Raw genomic sequence first — 19,880 nt, 5'->3', positions numbered from 1 at the left:
TGCACTGCCTGCCCATCTATACAGTGGTCAACCTGCTCTTTCTAAGACAATTTATACCTAACATAGCCAAAGCAAAGTCACGAGCACCAAACCTTGCCCAACCGGCTCCTCTTATATGTCCCTTCCTAGCAAGAGGCATCATCATCCATCTTTCAAATGGCCCCACTGTCTAATCAATCCACTGCCAAATCCTATCAATTCTCACTCATCTGTCAAATCCATCCGCTTCTCTCAAACTTCACTTCATAATCGAAGCCCAAGCTCCCATCATCTCAGCCAGCCTACCCCAAGGGATTCCCAACCAGTCTCCTTACACACTCTCTTCTCTCCCTTTAGGTAAAGAAGGTGAGAGGAGAAGAACGGTTGGGATACCAAAGCTGAATATAGAACATGATGCTTGGAGACTTCTTTTTGTCATGAAGCAAAATGTAAAGACTGAGAAGCTAGACAACAACTTCCCCTTTGGCAGTTAAAACTTCAATGGAGGTTAGAGAGACTGTGAAGAACAAAGTACTATGGGAGGGGAACATAGGAAAACTATTTAATACTTGAAGAAGGACACCAGTGAAAAGCAAAGTTGGGAAGAAGTAGGAAAGTGCCACAATTGCTTGCAGCCATGTCACAGCCCTTGCTGGAGCCTCCCCCAACCCCACTACCCCACCTACCTGGCCAGCATACTCTACATAGTCCTGTTGCCCAGGTTGGGAGCTGACCCTGGAGCTGGAGCTGGCGGTGCCTTGCTCGGTGCGACACAGGACGATGGCATATTGGTTCAGGTTCCCAGTCCTCTGCACCGTGACACTGACAGACCCTGCCTTCTCACTGACATTGTAGCTGGAAGCACACAAAAAGGCATCTCTTAAACTATGCCCCATGGTTATGAAAAAACAACTTGTTTAATGCCTGTCTCTTCCATTTGGTTCTTGGCATTAGGTAGTCAGAGAAGAGGAAGTTTGGTTCCTCTAAGAATCCAGGCTGTAAATTGAGGGAATGAGTTCACCTGAACAATCAGAGCACGAAACAAACAGGGAAGCTGTGGATGCAGAATGTCGTCTTCCCTGCTTTGCAAGCAAGCTAAGAGTCATTTTGGGAGATGGACAGCACATAGGAGCAATGAACTTCAGATTTCAGGGCACAGAGAAAGGAAAAACAATCTCTCCCTCCTGGGGTTGAGTAATCACAATAGGTCAGTGGGTTCTTAGGGAAGAAAGCTGCTCTGAAGGCAATCAATGACTTAGGTGGGAACTGACTGGACCAGATCTCCAGGAACTGTGTGATGGAGTCAGAGCAGAAGCAGAGGTAAGAAAATGTGAGGTAAGCCTACATAACAGAGATGTTTAGACAAATAGAACTTTATGACAATGGGGGAAGGACATGATTAATTTAGCTTGCTGCTCAGAATCTCTATTGCATTTGTAAAGTAGAAGGCCAACTATTCATATGCTATTGATTCATAATAAGTATCTAGGTTTGGAAAGGCCACAGAAAGTAGGGCATGAGCTGGGCTTTGTTTTTCACCACTGAGGATGGCCCCTAGACCTGGGTGCATGTCTTGTTGCTGTGAGGACAGCAGGGAAAGTGACTCTGAGAGCTCAGTCCTCATTGCCAGCTTTGGGACCGTCTATACCACTTAGTCCATTAAATGTTAGAGGGTTGTCCAGAAAAAGGGATGAATTTTATTGAATTTATTGAATTTTGAAGGTGATACAATTGAGAGGTAAATAACAGCAAAACATTACATATGTAAAAGTTGATTCTAATTTTCCTCTAATTCTCCAAATGTGTGTAAGAGTAGAATAGCCTGAATTTGGGGCACATGAAATCAAGGTTTTAAGTCTTCCTTTTTTCCCCCAAGTTCCAATTTTTATCTGAATTTTCATGAAGTTGATTTCTTGGATAGTGAGTCTCTGAAATGTAGACTTAAAGAATATTTCCCCCACATAAATTATAATCCTAGTTATAATCTAACCTATAAAATCAGCACCATGCTTGCACACTACCTTTAACAATCAGTATCTCTCTGTTTGCCTTTCTAACTCTCCAACAGATTAGAAAAGCATCTTAAAGGGCTGTCCACATTAAGCCATGCATTTAGCCCTACAGATATACATTCCTACCAAACCCAAAGAAGCCAGGGGAGAAAACAGGGTTGGGAACAAGGAGAATACAGATGGAAGGTGAAGATATTGATAGTGTGGGCCAGTGATTATTTTCCAAACTTGAATGCCTATTTTTATTTTTCCTATCAGTTCTACTAGACTCTCTTCTAAAACTTGAAGAGACAGAAGCAAAAACATTTGTCTGAGCAGCAGTAGAGCACATCGTTAAGATCACTGGGCTTACATCCTGGTCTTACTTCTTATTAGCTATGTGACTGTGGACAAGTTACATAAACAAGTTTCTGTCTCTATTACTTTGCCACTGTGGAGACAGGAATGGAATTCATCTCAGAATTCCAAGTATTATATAAGATGATGCATGTCGAGTCCTAGTGCAGCACCTAATACATACAGTACTCAATAAATATTTGGTGAAATTATTACTTTTATCACTGCCATCATCACCATCACCGCCATCAAGAGGTGACTAGAGCTGCCCCCCAGCATCCTTCATCCTGACTCCCTCTGCTTGCCTGATTGATTTCTCAAGAAGGAAAGCACAGTAAAACTTGTACCTGGTATATTTAAAGCTGATGAGTGACCACTGGATATGGAAGACATTGTCGCTGACCACATTGGGTTTACTGTCTTTCACCAGAAACTGAAAACTATCCATCATCTCACGGATCTTCTCCTTGTGCAACACATAACGAATCAACCCCAAGTTCACATCCTCTGTGAGAAAAAAGACTCACTGTGAATTAACCCAGGGATGTAACGACAGCTTCATAGATTACCACACCAACAAACCTAGTTTATTCTTCTAATGTATTACAGACAAAACTTATTTTTCCAAGCACCAAAAGTATAGTAGTTGTTAAAATAAATGTTTCTGTCAGATTTTAAAATAAAATCCTGAAGCTCTGTGAAAAAAAAGATCTGTCTTTAAGTACAGAGATATTGTAAATATCTCTTATGCTGTTATAAAATGAGAATCCCAGGGTCCTGACAAAAAGCACTTCAATAAATGTCTGTGAATGTTGATGGCAAATCCTAGAGTTGACAGAGGAAAGTCTTTGACTCCATCCTCTGTGTTTATAGCCTCATACTCAGACCTAATTCCTTCTAATAAAGGTTCTTTGGAAGGTATGTGCTAATAAGAATAGCTGGGGTTGGGTTAAAACTTCCCATACACAAAGCACAGCTAAAAAGGTGTGAGGAGAGAACATACAATTGAGGACAGAGAGTAAAAAGAAAATTCATGGAGCATGAATTTTGAGATGCAGTTTTGCAATGACTGCTCCCAGTCAAGTCAATCCTGAAAAAAGTCTAGAGGAGCCTGACAAGCTTAACATGGCCTGCTTGAGATGATTCAAAACAGGGAAAATATTTCTGTTGAGCAACCTATACATGTTGATTTTAATTTCTAGGCTGAAGACTTAAAGTCTATAATCCTTAGAGAACAAAAAATAAATCACACAGGATCACAGATCTTTCATAATGTCTGCTTGTTATTTTTTGCTTTCTTGTTGTTATTGTTTTTAAAGAAAACCAAGCAGCATCATGCATTCTTTTCCAGAAAACCTGGCCAACACTTAGAGCAATTTAGGAGTTGAGGAAGCACGGTAAAGGTGAATTTTTCTTTGCCATAGTTCATCATCACAGGGAAAAAAATCAGGAGAAATAAAATTCTTAAGTTGGATGGTTAAGCACTAGAAGATCTCTGCAAAGTGGTTACTTGGGCATAAGTAGCTGGAAGTGGCTGTGAGAAGAATCTGGGAGATAGGCAGTGTGACATTAGCATAGATTTCTCCCATTTCTAAGTTCCCAGAGAGTCCCCACCCTGGGTGAAAGTGGCAGCAGCTCTGCCAGGCTGCAGCTTGTTCTCCACAAAGCCATGCTTAGGGCCCGTCGTTATCTCATAGACAAGCTGCGCGTCCTCGGTGTCTGGGTCCATGGTCAGCAGTTCCTTCTTGGTGATCAGGTTGGTTGCCTAGAATAGAAACCCATTTAATTTAATTCCTGAGGTGGGAATAAAGCAGGAACAAGACCCTCTGACTCAGATTTAATTCAGTTCAACAATGATTTACTGAGTGTATTTACTGCATGGAAAGCTCTGTCAGGATTGGAGAGGCTATGAGGATGAAAACCATTCCAGCTTCTGCCCTTGAGGTATTCACACTTAATAGGGAAAGAAAGGCTCATGCACAAGGTCAATGTGGCAAGAGCTGTAATGGAAGACATAAAAAGAGGGCTGCACACTTTTTAAGAGAAAGAGAGAGAGAGAAAAAGATTAATTTCATCTGGAGTTGAAGGAGGATGGATTGGAGGCAGTGGGATTTGAGTTGGGCCTTGAAAGAAAGTTGGAACTTTGAAAGAATAATTCAGTACAGGGAAGGTGGCCACTTTCTAGGAGTCAATTATGATACTTGAAATAGAGTAAGAGAAACACACTGTACCCTGATATTGCCCAAATACACTGGCTGAACTTTCATTCATTCATTCATTGAAGTATTTAGTGAGAGCCAAGATTTGAGCAAAGAAAGAGGGTGGTCAAGAGCATTGAAGATTTTTTTAGGTCTAGTAAGGTAAAGACAGATAATTGGTCTCTGGATTTGGCAAAATAGAGGTCATTGGTGACTTTAATAACAGTTACTGCAATAGAGTAGGAGTAGGGGGTAGAAACCCAATTGGAGAGTATTGAGAAGAGAATGGAATTGCTCTAAATAAGGTGGGGAAAAAAGATCAAATAGAGCACAGGGGAAATTGGCACTAACTTTAATTCATGTTTGTTTGTTTTTTTTAAAACCCAACCAGTTCAATTAGAAGCTATAGTGCAACATCTACACATACAATGAACTAATTAGCTCCATGGAGATGGTAAACAAGCCACATCCTAGAAAGAATACCACCCACAAATGCAAGAAACCAGTTCTCAACTGAAGAACTATGTTTGGGTGGGGATGTGGATTTAGTGCTTGACATGATTACTAGGTGAAAATTATGGCATAGATCTTAAAATGACCAATTTCGAAATTAGGAGAAAGAGAAAGCAATGCCTAAAGTACAATTCATCTGTGCACACTTACCTACAAAAATGCCCCGCTTCTTTCTCATTTATGGTAGACACTCGATATTCTCCAAAATCCACCCTCCCCTTCTTCTAGTGAACAATGTTTTAGCTGAGCCTCTGCCTGCCCAGCTAGAGATGCTATTTCCCAGCCTCCCATGCAACATTTGGGCCATATGAACAATTTATTGCCAATAAATATGAGTGCAAGGGATGTATTCAATTTCTGTATCACTTGCTTAATATGGAGTTCCTTGCCCCTCTCTTTCTGTTTCCTCCTTCCCATATGCTGGTACAGTTGTCCCTCAGTATCTACGGGGATTGGTTCTAGGCTTCTCTGAGGATTACAAAATCCATGGATGCTCAAGTCCTTTATACAAAATGGCATAGTACTTGCATATAACCTATACACTTTCTCCTGTATACTTTAAGTCAAGATTACTTATAATACCTCACATGGCACAAATGCTATATAAACAGTTGTTGTACTATATTTTTAAAATTTGTATTATTTCTTATTTTTTTTCCTTCAAACATTTTTGAGCCACAGTTGTTAGAATCCACAGATGTGGAACCTGTGGATACTGAGGGCCAACTGTATATTGATGAATTTCTGAAGAAGTTTGGCCAGGAGTCAATAGCAACCACTTAGTGATGACAGAACAATAAGGTGGAGGGAATCCACATCTCTAAGTGCTCATGTAGAGCCCTGCACTGCCCACTTACGTCCACCCTATATGTGAGAAAAAAATAAATAAACTTCTATCTAGCTTGACCTACTATATTTTGGGGTCTTTTCAAAGAGCATCTTAAACTATACACAATCGTAACCGATCCTACACAAGTTTATCCTAACCAAACTCACGGAGCTCACTAATCTCAGGAAAATCAGTTTATTTAGGGAGGGATAAACAGGTGAGCTGAACTGGACTTCTATTCATAAGTCATTGTCGTGAAGAAGGATGTAGCCCAAGTTGGGTGGTGTGAACATGACAGAGGGACAGGCCTTACCTTGCCATCCATGTATTCCAGCCACTGGAGTCCCAGGTTGGTGACAATTCTAGGCGTGCCATCATCTACCGGGAGGATGTCTACTCGGAACGGCTGAGGTGCTGCTGTCATAATCTGAAGGGGAGGGCAGAAAAGAAAACTCATCATTCACAAGTACCTGAAGTATGTCAGGTCCAGGGCCTACACAGCTGTAACCTCTGAAGTCTGCTAACACTTCAGAGATGAGGGATGGGCAACTGAGCCCGTTCCCATCCCTTATCATCCTGGCACAAGGCCTAAGGGAGAAAGCTGAATGATAGAGTGAGAACAATGTAGGAAGAAAAGGAAAAACAAAACAACAACAACAACAACAACAAGTGGCATTCTTGCTGTCATTTCACCTGCTATGGAAGTTGGTTTTTACACACCTATGTCTTCTTTAGTTGAGTTCGATACTGCCTTGGGATGAAAAAAAAACCAAACAGTACTTTTCCTTTCAATAAACCGTGTTAAAATTTTCATGAGAGGCTGACAAAAATAATCATTAAATTGTTAATGTTGAAATTTCTAGGTGGGATTATGCCAGATGTGAAAGAGGTTTTCATGGGAAGATATTTTCTTTTTTTTTCCTTTTCCCATTGTTGTTGTCTGTTTTAAGGGAGAGCTCTCTATATGAGGGTGAGGGGCAGAAGAAATCAGAAATAAAAGCATTTGTGGTAATAGCGAAAAGGAAATTTCATTTATAATCCCATTCTCACAGATACACACATGCATGCATGCAACACACACATCATAAATTGGATCTAGCATCTCCCTGTTCCTGGGTGGATACAGCAAGTTGGGACACAGGGCAATGAGACGTTGGCTTTTCAATCTCCCACAAGCCACCTTCTAAATAATTTCCATTTTTTAAATGACATCGTCCCTCCAGAGACCTGTTGTAACATTTTGTTTATAAGAGCATTAGCCCTCTTGCTGATATATCCTGAAATCTTTTTTCTCTTCTGAAAGTCAAACTAACTGGGGAGCAGCTACAGTTTGGGAGAGAAAAAACAAGAGTGATGACTTGCCAGGTGGTGATGCTGTGCAGACACCGCAATGGCAGGAAAATCCCAAGAGCCATCCCACCGACATACCAGCTAACTGAGAATGACCTTCTCACAGACTGTTTGTCTCTAAAGGACACAGAGGATCTTTTTTTCCAGGAAAATAATCCTTCAGTGTCAAAGTAGAAAAGGAGCTGTGCAGGCCTGAGAAGTGGATCCTTTTGTTATACTGGAAGTATAGAAAGGTGTACATATGCCGCTCACTAAAACTGCCTTCCCCAGGTCAGACACAGATGTAGGGGTGCCCCCAGGCCCACCTTTCACCAGAATTGAAGTTTTTCCCAGGCGAGGTTTATGAACTACAGGAGAGCTGGCTAACAAACAAAGGGATGAGTAAAAATGGCGGCAAGGGAATGGAAGGGGAATCAACATTTCTTCTGGATATCTGGATGTTAGAAGACAGCGATTCCTTTAGGAAGTAAAGCTTGACAGTTGCACAACCTCAAGAGAAAAGCATTTTACTGGTTTCACAAGCTGGTTCTAAAATGATGATGATGATGATGATGATGATGATGATGATGTTTACAGCTTCAGTTTATCTGATGTTCCCTGTGTGCCAGGCACTGGGCTTAGTGCTTTATGTACATCAGGAGAATATGTATCACTTCCACTTTACAGATAGGGAAAACGAGGCTTGGAAAGTTTAAATGATTTACAAGTATATTCAGTTTGTACATGACAGGGCTGGAAATTAAATGAGTATCTTTTAGGATACACATGCAGAAGAATGAACCTGGACCCCTCTCTCTCACCACATACAAAAATCAAATCAAAATCGACCAAAGAATTAAACCTAAGACCTCAAACTATGAAACTACTACAAGAAAGCATTAAGAAAACTCTCTAGGACATCAGTGTGAGCAAAGATTTATTAAGTGTTATCCCAGAAGCACAGGAAACCAAAGTGAAAATGGACAAATGGGATCACATCAAGTTAAAAGGCTTCTGCACAGCAAAGAAAACAATCAACACAGTGAAGGGACCACCCAAGGAATGGGTGAAAATATCTGCCATCTACTCATCTACAAGGGATTAATAAGCAGAATATATTAGGAACTTAAACAACTCTACAGGAAAAAATCTAATAATCTAATTTTAAATTGGGCAAAAGATTTGAATAGACATTTGTCAAAAGAAGACATACAAATGGAAAAGAGACATATGAAAAGACGCTCAATATCACTGATCATCAGAGAAATGCAAATCAAAACTACAATGAGATGTCAACTCACCCCAGTTAAAATGGCTTTTATCTAAAAGACAGGTAATAAAAAATGCTAATGAGAATGTGGAGAAAAGGGAACCCTCATACACTGTTGGTGGGAATGTAAATTAGCACAACCACTATAGAGAACAGTTTGGAGGTTCCTCAAAAAACTAAAAATAGAGCTACCATACAATCCAACAATCCCACTGCTGGGTATATTCCCAAAAGAAAGGAAATCAGTATATCAGAGAGATATCTGCACTCCTATGTTTGTTGCAGCACTGTTCACAATAGCCAAGATTTGGAAGCAACCTAAGTGTCCATCAACAGATTAATGGATAAAGAAAATGTGGTACATATACACAATGGAGTACTATTCAGCCATAAAAAAGAATGAGATTCAGTCATTTGCAACAACATGTATAGAACGGGAGGCCATTCCCTTAAGTGAAATAAGCCAGGCACAATCAAACATCACATGTTCTCACTTATATATGGGATCTAAAAATCAAAACAACTGAACCCATGGAGAGAGAGAGGAGAAGAATGGTTACCAGAGGCTGGGAAGAGTAGTAAGGGGGCAGAGATGGTTAATGGGTAAGAAAAAAAAGTTAGAATGAATGAATAAGGCATAGTTTTTGCTAGCATGACAGATGACTAATGTCAAAAATAATTTAATTGTGCATTTTAAAATAACTAAAAGAGAATAACTGGATTGTTTGTAACACAAAGGATAAATGTTTGAAGGGATGGATACACCATTTTCCATGATATGAGTGTTAAACATTGTATGCCCATATCAAAACATCTCATGTACCCCATAAATATATATACCTACTATGTACCCACAAAAATTAAAAATAAAAAATTATTTTAAAAAATCAATATATTTTGGATGCAAAAACCACACTCTTATCCACTGCTATTTCTCAAAGACTGAGAAACTCTGGTTAGGCTGAGGGGACCTAGTCCAAAAAGAGAAAAACAATCTAGAGATATACAATATTATTCAAAAACCAGATGAAAGAAAAATTAAGGAGTAAAGGATGGGCAAAAAGAAAAAAGAAATAACAGTAATACTAACAACAAGAACTATCACCATTTATTGAGCACTATTTGTCAATGGTGTTAAGCACTTTATGTGGATTACCTCCTTGGATCCTTAAACCAACTATTTGAAGCAGATAATTACTGTCCATTTTACAGATGAAAAACTGAGGCTTAGAAATGTAATTTGCCCAAGGTCAATCTACTAGCTACTGATAGAACGAGAACTCAAACAATGGTATGCTTGATGTAAAACTCCATGTTCTGCCTCTGCCATGCAGTGCTAGGCTACCTCCTCCAGTGTCCTCACCCCTCACCTCTTTTCCCCCTTCCTCAATGATAAAGAAGGGGTTTGTCCCATCAGAAACAGTGAAGGTGAACCGGTCCTTGAGGGAGTTACTGCCGTCATGGCTGTAGCTGACCCGGTTCTGGTAGATATCTTTCATGGTGAAGGTGGAGGTGAGGTGGAAATGCTGCCCATTGCTGGTTCGCTCGATGGTGCCATGGCGTGGAGGCTGCACGATGGTGAATGTGACAGACTCGGCCTGTCCGGAAGGCAAAATACCAGAGGGGAGGGAAGCTCATAACAGAAACCAAAAGAGTGAGTGATGCCCAATTGCTGATCAAGGGTAGTAGAACCCAAAGACATTGATAAAGTAAGGACTGTATTTTCTTTATAGACACCAAAGATAGAGCTAAAGAGAATGACCATACTGTTTGCTACAATTGCGCTTATATTCTGGTACCTTCAGTTGTAAGATTAAAACATTTAAATTTCTTCTCTTCAGGTCATGGGGGAAAGCCTGAATTTTTAACCTCTACCAAGATGAAAGAAAATAGACCTTTTTAAACTGTTCATTTCCTTCCCCTACATCTACCCAAAACTCTTATATACAGAATTTCATATGCATCACAACAGAAGCTAGCTTCTCATTTTTAATTACTGCTTCTCTGGTGACCCGCAGAAAGAAAAAGAGGCATAAAATCCTTCCCAAGGCTTTCCAAGGGTTTCCCACCAACTTAAAACAAAATGCCAAGGCCTAACCAGGGCCAGCATGGCCCTCTGTGACCTAGTCCCAGGGTTCCTCTCTGGTCTCATTCTTTTCTCCTGCCTGTTCAATGGGTTCCAGCCTCTTGGCCTCTTGCCACCTTTGCTACAGTTATTCCCAGAGTCTAAGTGCACTTGATCACAGTGCCTTTGTATTTCTGGCTCCCCTGTCTGAAGGGTGAATTCTCCCAGATAACTGCATAGCTTGCCCTTTTGCTTAATAATGTCTTTGCTAAAGTATGACCTCCTCAGAGAGGCCTTCTCTGGATACTCTAAAGCAGCATATCTATCAATCTCTATCTCCCTCATCTCCCTTTATTTTTCTGCATAGCACTTATTGTATCTGATATAATATGTTCCTTCTTTCTTTACTAGTAAGTCTTTCCCCCAAACAAAGATAGTAGACTCTCTAAGCCTGCAAATTTATCTGTTTTGTTACAGCCCTGTCTTCGGCATCTACAGCAGAGCCTAGAACCTCATAGGTAATTAATATTTGATGAAAGAATCAATCAATCAATGAGTGCTGGCACAGAGAAGGGGATACATAGAACTAATTAATAAGTGTGGCAGTATGAGTTTATGTGAGCTAAGTCATGTCAGAATGTGAGATGCTTTAATCTGGAAGCATGAGAATAAAAGCTTAGTCTCCACATGCCCTGTTTTACTGCACAAAGCCTAGTCTTTGAGGAGGCTCAAATTGTAATAATTAGTTGCCATCAGAGAAGTCCGGATGAAGGAGGTGAAAGGGAGAAAGGGTATATAGGTATAGAAAATCCCTGTTCATGCTAATGGGAAATAATAACATTGGGTAAAATGTCATCTACCTGGTTTTCTGTAAATCAATACAAAATCAGCATGTTAAAAGTATTGTTACATGTACTCAAGGGAGAGGATGGATGTATTTAGGTTTTCAGAAAGGGTTTAAAAACAATTTGATCTCAAATACATTTGTTTTTCTTTTCCAGAAGGCCCTGGTATCTTCTGTATTTTAATCCTTCAAGGATGCTTGCACTCACCTTACAGCTCCTCCCTACCATCAGGATGCACAGCTGCAACGTGATAGCTGCCACCAGGTCAGCCTCTCATTTAGCCAGAGAACCCATGGGAAGAAGTGCTCTTACCTCTGTGTCAGCATCCACCGCCTTAAGCTCAAACTCTGTGATGGTCTTCCTCATGCCCTCCTGCACCCGCATTCCTAAGTTCTGTACGACGGGCAGCGAATCATCGACAGGGTGAAGAGTGATATGGAAAGTCTGAGTCACCTAGAATGGCAGGAAAGTGCAGGTGGGACACCTGTCCCTAGCACCTACCCAACAAGTCCAAGGTAGGTGCTCTCTACTTTTCTCTTTCACACATTGCTTGCACAAGTCAATAATTAGGAGCCCCAGAGTGAGTCCTCTTGGGCAAGAGCCAAGGTGGCTACAGAGGCTGCCCCTACCCCTTGACTGAGAGCAGAGGAAAATGAAGCTCTTCTCTCACCAGTCACTCTGCCTACTCCACTCAAAGAAGATGGCGAGGAATCAATACTTTTCAAGGATGGAGTTCAGTGCCTCACCTACCTCACTGACTCCATCAGACAGTGTAAAGCTGAAGGCATCTGAATGTTTCTCAGCCTCACTAGAATGGACATACTGAACATTTCGTGAAGTCAGATCAGCTTGAGTAAAGGAACTAATCTGGATACCTAGAAAAAGGGGAAAAGAGAAACAGAGACAGGATATTAAAATGCTAGCCATATATCTAAGGCTAGGGAAGTGTCATACTCTCACCAGATAGAGAGTCCTTTGTATTTTTCTTATAGCATTTATTTCCTCCACTTGAGGACCTTGTTGTTAGAGTTGTTTGTGGATACAACAGCATATATTCTGTGGGAACACATGTTAACTTAATTATGGTGGCTTCTATGCGCAAAGCCAACAGCAGGTGTTCAATCAATGTTACTCTTCTTTTTCTTGGGTTTTATGTATGTAGGTAAAATTTGTGAAAGGTAGAGCCATTGTCTTATTCTCCAAGCCCCTCTCTGTTCAGTTTTGTGTTCCCCCAAGCTTCACAGTCCTTTCTGAAGACCTACCCTCATTTTAAATATTGCATAATGGTTTAGCTTTTAAACTAACGTTACAGGGCTTGGCTACACACAGCCTTGTTTCTGTGATTGGTGAGCCATCCCTGGCTGCCATAATTTTATTGAATATTCTTCAAGGTTCTTTTTAACTCTCAGGTCTACGATTCTAGCTTCTCCCATCCCACTTTAGCCAGTCAGGCAGTAACAAAACTTACCGCCTGACTCTGGGGCATGAGCAATTATTCCACACCAAATCAAAAATGACCTGGAAAAACAATATCCTTTAATAACATAATAGAGAAAAAATCATTTTTTCTCTATTAATTTTTCTCTATTTATTTCATTCCAGTCATTTTTAAAACAAAAAATTTGAAAGAAATTTTAAACAATGGTAAACTATCCCACAAATGTGCAATATCTCTGCTTTAAATGCCTCACAACATTTAGCAAAACAACTTGAAATTGTTGCTTCTGTCTTAGGGCTGCTAGGGCTCATACCCAGGTGCCAATCAAGACTGAAACGAAAATGACATCTTTTAATCCTCCAGCACAAATTCTCTCTTTCTGATTCTGGGTTTTGAGGTATTAATCCATTTAATCTAGTCCTTTAGTTTGGCCCTGAAATTGATTTGCTGTTTTCTGGGTTTGGTGATTTGTCATTGTTAACCTACAAAGAAAATAAAGATTCTACATTGACTCATATATTTAAGGGTGACATCAGTATCACTGCTTTATCTTTAAGAAGTTAAAAAAAATCAACACACATGGTTTACATTTGCATCTCTCCTTATCATCTGAAATTTGTCACCCAGATACAAGAGCCTCCCGAATATGGGGGCATTAATTTTTTGATGAGGCATTTTATGTTTCTGTGCTTGCTACATCAGTTCTTGACAGGCAAGAAATGTTGCACCCTGTCTTATAGCTTTGTCTTTTGGCTCTGGACAGAAATCCATACCATTCTTTAAAAATTTAACAACTTCAGACTTGCTGCACTGAGAAATTTAAATCTCTTCCCCCTGCTGTGAATCCACTCTCACAGCTCACAGGAAAATCTCATCTGGATTCTCACCATCAACTGGTCACCTAATTCACTGTTCCCTTTATGGAAGTCTAAGACTGATTAAGAAAGGTGATAGATTTTGCCTTCCTCTTGAGATTGATTTTTTTAAACATTTTTTATTGAGGTAAAATTGACACATAATAAATTACATATATAGACAGTGTGCAATTTCTTTTTCTTTTCTTTTTCTTTTTTTTTGTTTTCTGAGACAGGGTCTCACTTTGTTGCCCAGGCTGGAGTGCAGTGACACAATCTTAGCTCACTGCAACCTTCACCTCCCAGGTTCAAGTGATTCTCCTGCCTCAGTCTCCCAAGTAGCTGGAATTACAGGCACACGCCACCATCCCTGCCTAATTTTTGTATTTTTAGTAGAGACTGGGTTTCGCCATGTTGGCCAGGCTAGGGTGGTCTCTAACTCCTGACCTCAGGTGATCCGCCTGCCTCGGCCTCCCAAAGTGCTAGAGGATTACAAGCATGAGCCTTTGCTTCCGGCGTAAAGTGTGCAATTTCATAAGCTTTGGTACACCCAGAAACCATCACCTCATTCAAAATAGTGAACCAATTCATCACCCCAAGTTTCCAACTTACGCTTCATAACCCTTCCATCCTTCCCTTTCCCGTCGCCTACCCCAACCCAAAGCGACCAATGAATCGCTTTCTGATGCTACAGATTAGCTGGCATTTTCTCTACTTTTTAATAAATAGAATTATATAGTATATACTATTTCATGTCTAGTTTCTTTCATTTAGCATGCCCCATATATAAAGCTGCTATGATTATTAGTGTGCAAATCTTTGTATGGACATAAGCTTTCATTCTTCTTGGTAAATCTCTAGGAGCGAAATACCTGGAATATATGTTAGGTGTATGCTTAATTTTTCAGGAAACTGCTAAACTGCTTTTCCAAGGTGGTAGTACCATTTTATATTCTCACTATATTGCACGAGAGAGCTGGGCTTGATCTTAGTGCGACTTTCCCAATTCAATCTAGCAAATATTGAGCACCTACTATGGATGGAACACAGTTTAAAGACTGCTTATTTATGTTGAATTTTATCTTTTAACAACTCTGGAAGGTTGAGGTTAGCATGTTACCCCCATTTTGTAGATCATGACACTATAATTTATGTAATTAAAAAGTTATGTGATGTACCCAATGTCACATAGCTAATAAGGGGGCAGTGATGAAATTGAAACCCGAGGCGGTCTAATTTCAAAGTTTATGCCTGCTAGGAGCACTTTTTGTAAAACTTATCTAGACAAGAAACCTCTTGGATTTCACTCTTCTTTAAAGTTTTTTCAATATGAAAGTAATATATGCCTATTAAAGAGAATGTGAAAAATCTAGACAAGTAGGAAAGAAAAATCATTCATAGACTTACCACTGAAAAAACAACACAATATTTTTGAGTAGTTCCTTCTAAAATGCTTTATTGGCTATATCCTCTTTCTTGTCTGAAATATTGATTTTGATGGGTTTTAATATTATCATTTAAATGACACCCATAAATATGTGCAGGGGCAACAAGTTGCATCTAGAACCTGAGTTTTAAGAGGACAAGGATTTTTTCTTGTTTCTTCACTGATGTGCACCTAGAATAATCCCTGGAACACAGTAGATGCTCAAACCATATTTGGTGAATTAATTTAGATTATCCACTATAATCTATACCTAAGAGGTTCTATTGAGCACATACAGTCATGCGTCACATAATGACATTTCAGTTTTGGTCAACTACAGACTGCATATAATGGTGATCCCATAAAATTATAATACTATACTTTTTCTATGTGTAGATATGTGCAGATACACAAATACTTACTATCATGTTACAATTGTCTACAGTATTCAGTACAGTAACATGTTGCACAGGTTTGTTGCCTAAGAGTAACAGGCTATATGCATATAGCCCAGGTGTGTAGCAGGCTATGCCATCTAGGTTTGTGTAAGCACACTCTGTGATGTTCACAAAATAATGAAACCGCCTGACAATGCATTTCTCAGAATTGTTACGCAATACATGACTATATTTTCAATCATCATCCACTTTTTATTTTTAAAATTTTAGCCTTTGCTAATTGGGTTTTGGAAGACTTCATCTGCTCATTTGCCAGCAAGGTGGTGTTTCTAATAACATATTGTCCCTACCGCTGTCACAGCAGGTAGTTGCTATTTGAAATATCTTGAAGGGTTTTAATCCCATTGAAGGTGTTTTCAATCACTAACCTGCTGGCTAAACTATGTATCTGGCAGTATTATGGAGACCCACATTAACCCTGTCAGTCTTTCCAATTCCCCTGGAGGGCCAGCACGCTAAAGAAAGCACAGTCCAGGTCAGGGAAATGGTGTGGAAATAAAGCATCTCTGAAGAAATTGCCTTCTTAACAGCGTGTTAGATGATGCCTCAGTCCTCCCACTTGCAGCCCAGCTGTGGGCAGTTCTATGCATGTTACCCATGTCCATGTCCTATCTCAAGCTCATCCTGTGGGAGACTCCCAGCCTTCTTGCTTCAGGATTTTTGAAAAGCCTCTTGTGATGGGTTGAATTGCACCCTTTCCCCACCACAAATTCATATGTTGAAGTCCCAAGCCCCAGTATTTCAGAATGTAACTTATCTGGAAATAGTGTAATTGTAGATGTAATTAGATCACATGAGGTCATTGGGGTGGGCTCTAATCGAATATGACTGGTGTCATAAAAAAGGGAAATTTGGATACAGACATATCCCAACAGGGAGAACACCACATGAACAAGAAGATGGCCATCTCCAAGCCAAGGAGAGAGGCCTGGGGCGGGTCCTTCCTTCACAGCCCTCAGAAGGAGCCAGTCCTACCAACACCTTGATCTCAAACTTGCAGCCTCCAGAACTGGCAATAGATTTCTGTTGTTTAAACTGCATATTCTGTGTAACTTTTTAATGGTAGCCCTAGCAAGCTAATATGCCTCTGCTCTCAGGGAGAACCCAAACCAAGACAATGGGTGCATCCTATTTTGGTTGGTCTCACAATACTGAAAGAGGTTGAAATAAAGAGGAAATGAAATAACACCATTGCTAAAGCATCACCTCTGAGAATTGTTTCCCAACTAACTCCCACCACTCTCTTAGGTGGAATCTGCCATGCATGCTTTGGGCTCCCCCTGTCCTCTGCCATGTTGCTACCAAACATGTGTGTGAATTATGTGTGTACCAAATTATGTGTACCTGGCTACTGAAACACATGTGCACATGTCTGTCTACATGTCTCCCACTTCCAAAATGTAAGTATTCTCTTGTAGCAGCTACTCAGTAAGTGTTTGTTGAAGGGAGAAAGGAAGGCAGGGAGGAAAAGAGGGAAGGAAGCAATTCTAACATGACAAGTACCATATACATGTAATTACAACTCAGCCTGTAAATAGAATTTCATTGGGGTCCTTTTAAAAGACACTCATATTCTAAGCCCCATCTCTAGGAGACTCTATTTATTGGTCTAGGTGGGGCCCAGGCATCATTATTTTTAAACACATGCCACTCACTCAGGTGATTCTAATGTGTAACATTCTAATCACTCAGGTGATTCTAATGTCCAAACAGAGCTGAGAACCCTTGATTTAACAGAAAAGTAGAAAGAATGATCAGAACACCTGCTTTGCTTTCTTTTTTTGTTGTTGTTAAATGCTTTCTTTCTGCTCTATATGAGTCACATAGGCCAGTAATACACTGCCTTATTTCATTGTATTTTTTTGTCATCTCTATAACTGGAACAGTCACAGCTCCCTCAGAGGTAGCAGATAAAATGGTGGATGACATTAAGATCAAGTATTTGATCTTATTCAATCTGTGCAGAGGTGGGGTGGTGGTTATGTCTGAAGTTACATGAATTCTGCAGGTTTAAAAAAATTATTTTAGATTCAGGGGTACATGTACAGGTTTGTTACAGGGTATATTGTGTGATGCTGAAGTTTGGGCTTCTGTTGATCCTGTCACCCACATAGTGAACACAATATCCAATAGTAAGTTTTTCAGCCTTTTCTCCCCACTCCCTCCCTCCCCAGTGTCTAAGGTTCCCATCTCTATGTCCAAGCATACCCAGTGTTAAGTTCTCACTTATAAGTGAGCATATGTGATATCTGGTTTTCTGTTTTAAATTCTGCAATATTTTTAATAAGAGAAATTGTGTGGGTTTACTGACAAGAGAACTATTTATATCTGGTGAATAAAAATAATGCTTCATATGACTGTTACTAAACTGGTAAGTGCTAAGGGTTGGCCCTTAAAGTGCAGTCATGACTAGGTAGCCTAAAGGGGGCTTAGTACTGTGATTTCTCCGTTAGTGAGGACATGATACAGACTAGCCTCCACAACGATAGAAAACTAGTGAGGAATGAGGATTATGAGTGGGCTGAGGATGCATGCACAACTGAAGAGGTTTAACTATCCTGCAGCTCACACATCCCTGGAGGCAGCCTGGACTCTAGGGTTGTCTGATTTATGGAGGTGGCTGAGTCAAAGCCCAGGACATTACCTGGAAGTTCTCGCTTTGACCTCTCTCTCTCTAACTGTGTATTCCCTAAGGACAATATTATCTGTCCAAGCCACACGGGCTGTCATGATGCTGTCCCTCCATTTTGAAATCTGGTTGAGATGATATTATGGCTTCTGGACAAAATGTCCACTTCCCTGAGAACTTTCAGAAGTGAGCTTAAAAGGCTAATTAGGGTAAGGAAGGGAAGAGATGCTTGTTTGAAAGGTGGCTTACCTTTTTTGGAGCTTTAATTTAGCTCCTTCAAGAAATGAGAACTTGGCAGTGAGTACAAAGTAGAAAGTGGAAAATTTGTGAGCGACACCTTGATAAGTTAACTCTTAGCAAGAAAGGGTTCCCTGAAGAGTTTTGTAACAGCCAAAGGGTTTAAGGATTTAAGACGTCTAGACTCGTCCTTGAGGGCACTCACTTTCGTGGGTACGTCGGTGATTAGTAAATAGCTGATGAAAGGATTTTCAATTTGATGAGGATAAAGCTCTTCATCTGCCTGATTTTAAGATTTAAGAGCAAGATAGGATCCTGAGAATGGTTAAAACAACAATAACAACACAGGGGTTGGTTCCACATTCCCAGAAGGGTGGGGAAATGCTCTGTGTAACCTGTGATTCACAGAGGCTGCATGAAGCTAAGTGCTGTACACAAGGCTTTTCTTCAAGCAGCATATTTTACAGAATTAAGAAGATTTGGGGGCTGACCAGCAAGGAGACCTACCTCTGGTACCCCCTGCCACTGCCCCCCTGTGGTGCAGAAGTCCTTCTCTGTTTGCCTTTGCTAAGCACTAACATCATCTGAAAAGTTTATTTCGGGCTCTGGTTCAGCTTCCGGTGGACTCCACAGTGGGAGGAAAGCAATTGTGGCTTTCCCCAGGTTGCCCATCAGCAAAGGGCCTTTTAATGGGTCTCTAAATGCCTTTAGGAATTCTGACAGATCAGAGAAGATCTTTTCTTCATCTAGCCAAGCAGCCATTATGTCACTTTAGGCTTTGAGGAAGGTGTGTTGTAACTGGTGAGGGGCATCCAGCACGAGGTAGGCCTCCTTGAAGTATTACAGAAGTAGCAACTACCTAACTTCTGAATGAAGCACGTGGGGTGAGACTGAAATGAGTAAGGTGTTGAGAGTTGTGTTGTGTTGAGAGCTGTCTCTTGGAGCTCTGCTGATTTCAATATGCTCTACCGGGAATAAAGTTAAAACTAAGAGCAAGGATTCAGACTTAGGATTAGATGCCACAGCCTACTATTTCTCACTAATCCACAACTGGCCTTTTAGACAGAACAATTATTTGGTTCAGGGCTTATCCCATTCATTGCTGGACATTTGTTAATAGCATCCCTATCTCTACCCTCTAAATGTTTGTTTAGCCACCATTACCCTTCAACCCCATCTGAATCAGTGTGACAACTTGTACCCTAAGGGTGACAACCAAACGCCCTATCCCTTGAAAACCAGTGTTGTCCTGGAAATTGCTATATTCCAATATTACTCCTCCCCTGCTTAAAAAAGATATGACTGCTATTAGTTAAGTAATTAGATGCCCAGTTAGAGTCTACATTCTCCAGCCACCTCACAGCTTTGCATGCATATGCTTTTGCCACTGGAAGGTGATATATGTTATTTGAGGCCTGGTACATGGCTCATGCCTGTAAACACAGCACTTTCGGATGCCAAA

The 19,880-nt window shown here is 40.4% G+C and overlaps 1 protein-coding gene across 1 annotated transcript in view; it reads right to left on the bottom strand.

The window, feature by feature from the left end:
• FRAS1 (Fraser extracellular matrix complex subunit 1) overlaps positions 1-19,880 on the bottom strand; it is a 486,947-nt gene that overhangs the window by 67,998 nt on the left and 399,069 nt on the right. The window contains exons 48-54 of the mRNA NM_025074.7: positions 12,127-12,251; positions 11,689-11,829; positions 9,837-10,064; positions 6,181-6,294; positions 3,942-4,092; positions 2,675-2,834; positions 666-834 (exon numbers count right to left, since the gene is read on the bottom strand). Coding sequence (NP_079350.5) covers positions 666-834; positions 2,675-2,834; positions 3,942-4,092; positions 6,181-6,294; positions 9,837-10,064; positions 11,689-11,829; positions 12,127-12,251 — 1,088 coding nt within the window. The remainder of the gene's footprint in view (positions 1-665; positions 835-2,674; positions 2,835-3,941; positions 4,093-6,180; positions 6,295-9,836; positions 10,065-11,688; positions 11,830-12,126; positions 12,252-19,880) is intronic.

Source organism: Homo sapiens, chromosome 4, assembly GCF_000001405.40.
Source record: "Homo sapiens chromosome 4, GRCh38.p14 Primary Assembly".
Taxonomy (NCBI): Eukaryota; Metazoa; Chordata; class Mammalia; order Primates; family Hominidae; genus Homo; species Homo sapiens.
Note: the sequence above shows the minus strand (reverse complement) of the source record. Positions and strands in the feature narration are given on the sequence as shown.